Below are 2,531 nucleotides of genomic sequence, written 5' to 3'. Positions count from 1 at the left end.
ATACATATATATACATTTGTGTGTATATATATATATATATTTGTGTATATATATGTATGTATATATATGTATATATACACAAATATATATATACACACACACATATATATTTCTTTTAACATTCAACATTCTGATACATGGCATATTACAGTATATTTTGGAGGGCTACAGTGGATTATGGAATTTGAAAAACTCTACTTCCTTCTGCCTAACGAAATACTTGTATGGAGTCAGGTAAAATTACGGGGGCAATTAAAAATCTGATGGCAATAGTTTTATAGGTTTTGTTTGATTTAAGGAGTACAGTGACAGTCTGGTTATCATAATCTAGTGGTTGGAAATTAGCTTTAAACACTCTGGCAGCCATATCTCCTGAAAAGTGTTCTAAATGGGCTTGAAAAGCCATGAGCTGGGTAGACTTAGGAGTTTTAGAAAAGAAATCTCTCTCAGTAATGAAGGCAGGACCTTATACTACACTGAGCCCCATAATATGCTGGTTCCTGAAAGATGAGATTCATGTAATCACTCATGGTCCTTATTCTTCAGTGTGTTCCTCTGTGAACATACACAGAATGAGAGTTCACTATGGTTCTAGCATACTATCAGTCTCACATCTTAATATGAGTTCTAAGATCATTGTGCCATCTCAACAGTATGCATTTTATTTCTATTTTTTACTAGATTTAAAAAATCTTTATACTGTGATGGGTTTTTGGATACAGTTAGGACTTCTAGGACCCTTATAAACACTGTTTGCTAAGCTGTATAGGTGTCCAATCTGCCCTTTGAGACTAATGGCCCTAATTACATGACTGATGTACTTTGCAGATTAAGTGAAATCTCCTCAGTATAATGACCTTAGCTCATTCATACCTGGCATGTTCTGAGTAATGTAGTTACTTTCATTTATATGTGAGTGTATATTTTACATTATCATTATCACCACATCTTAGCCCATTAATCCGTAGTGTGGTCTTAGGGAAATGAAAGGAAATATGGGAAGGTTCAGTGCTGATAAAGGAACTGAAATTAGGGTTCCTACAAATGCAATGGTAGACTGATTCCTGTTTCAGAGTCAGATCGACAAAAATAACTGAGGGAAGAAGATAGAATTGGCATCAAAGAAGTAAAATTACAACTATTTTCTTACCCTACACTGGCAACAACAGTTAAATTTGAGTTCTTTCCAATTCCCTAAAGGACCAGGCTTTCTCTTGGTTACAATATGCATGGATGTATTCCTAAAAAACTATATAATCTAAATTTTTACAAGACTAAATGTATCACAAATACACAAAGGAAGTAGTTCTCTTTTCCTCCTAAAAAAATAGGTAATGTGACACTCCTATGTCTCTTGTGTCTTGCAATTAGTTCTATAGTATGTCACAAGGAATTTGTTACTACTAACAGCTGAAGTATCAAGGTTTGTGAATTATTTACTTTAAAAAAATGTTGAGTGTGTGCAAGATTTTCCCTACAATAAAATCACTTTTATTAATTTCCGTTTGACCATGCTTCCTTGAGTGGGACAGAAAAGGATGACATTTCAGCCATTATACTGGGAATTGTCTTAATCCATGGCCTAAGTTTGCCAAAGCTGAAGTGGTTGATTTGTCAGTGTGCTATTTATAATCATGGTGTGATAATTAAGTGATTGTGATGTTTCACTAGCCCCACAAAATTGTTTTCAGTTTTGTCAAGATCTAGGTCTGCTCATGGGGGTGTTGGGTGTGTGCATGCCAGCACTCGTGTGCATCAAGGTGGAAAAAGAGACTGAAATAAATATTATTAAATAATTATGCACTCTTCAACGTTTTTAAACTCGTAGAATTCTGATACCCAAGAGATGGTTAATTGACCATAAAAATAAGTCTGTGCTTATGCCTATCACACCATTTTATCATTCTACAATTGTAATTGCTTGTTGACCTATCTGTATCTCTTGAGTTCCTTGAGGACGACAACAGTGTCTTACACACAGAGCACACCCAATAAATATTTGTTCAGTCAACTTCAATAAACATTATTTTAAAAAATCTATAAAATGTGAATTTATACAAAAGCCAAATAGGGAGTCAATTAACTTTACAAATTCCTTGACAGAATGTGTGCTTAAAATTATCTCAGAAAAAGTCGATTTGAGGAGTCCACCCATTAAATGGGCTTTTTTTTAATTAAAATTTTTTTTATTTTCTTTTTTTCTTTCTTTTTCTATTTTTTTTTTTTTTTTTTTTTTTTGGAGATGGGGGGTCTCACTATGTTGACCAGGCTGATCTCCAACTCCTGACTTCAAGCGATCCTCCCATCTTGGCCTCCCAAACGGCTGGGATTACAAGTGTGAGCCACTGCGCCCAGCCGATTCTTTTTTTTTTTTAAGCCAAGCGTATTTGTACTTACTCTTAAGGAATTTCAAACTCTTTACTAACATTAATTCAGTTTAGTTCAACCAAGGTTTTTAGTTTCTACTCTGTGCAAGATTTTATGATGTGTGCTAAGAAAACATGATGAACTAGACATACTTCTTATTCTCA

The 2,531-nt window shown here is 34.2% G+C and overlaps 1 annotated feature.

Annotated features, from left to right (window-relative positions):
• Positions 545 to 644: a silencer, noted in NCBI's record as "silent region_5257". NCBI's record gives its function as "represses an Ori minimal core promoter by ATAC-STARR-seq in GM12878 lymphoblastoid cells {active_cell/tissue: GM12878}" and the evidence as "EXISTENCE:reporter gene assay evidence [ECO:0000049][PMID:35858748]".

The sequence above is a fragment of the Homo sapiens genome, chromosome 13, assembly GCF_000001405.40.
Source record: "Homo sapiens chromosome 13, GRCh38.p14 Primary Assembly".
NCBI lineage: Eukaryota > Metazoa > Chordata > Mammalia > Primates > Hominidae > Homo > Homo sapiens.
This window is presented reverse-complemented; position numbering and strand designations above follow the sequence as displayed.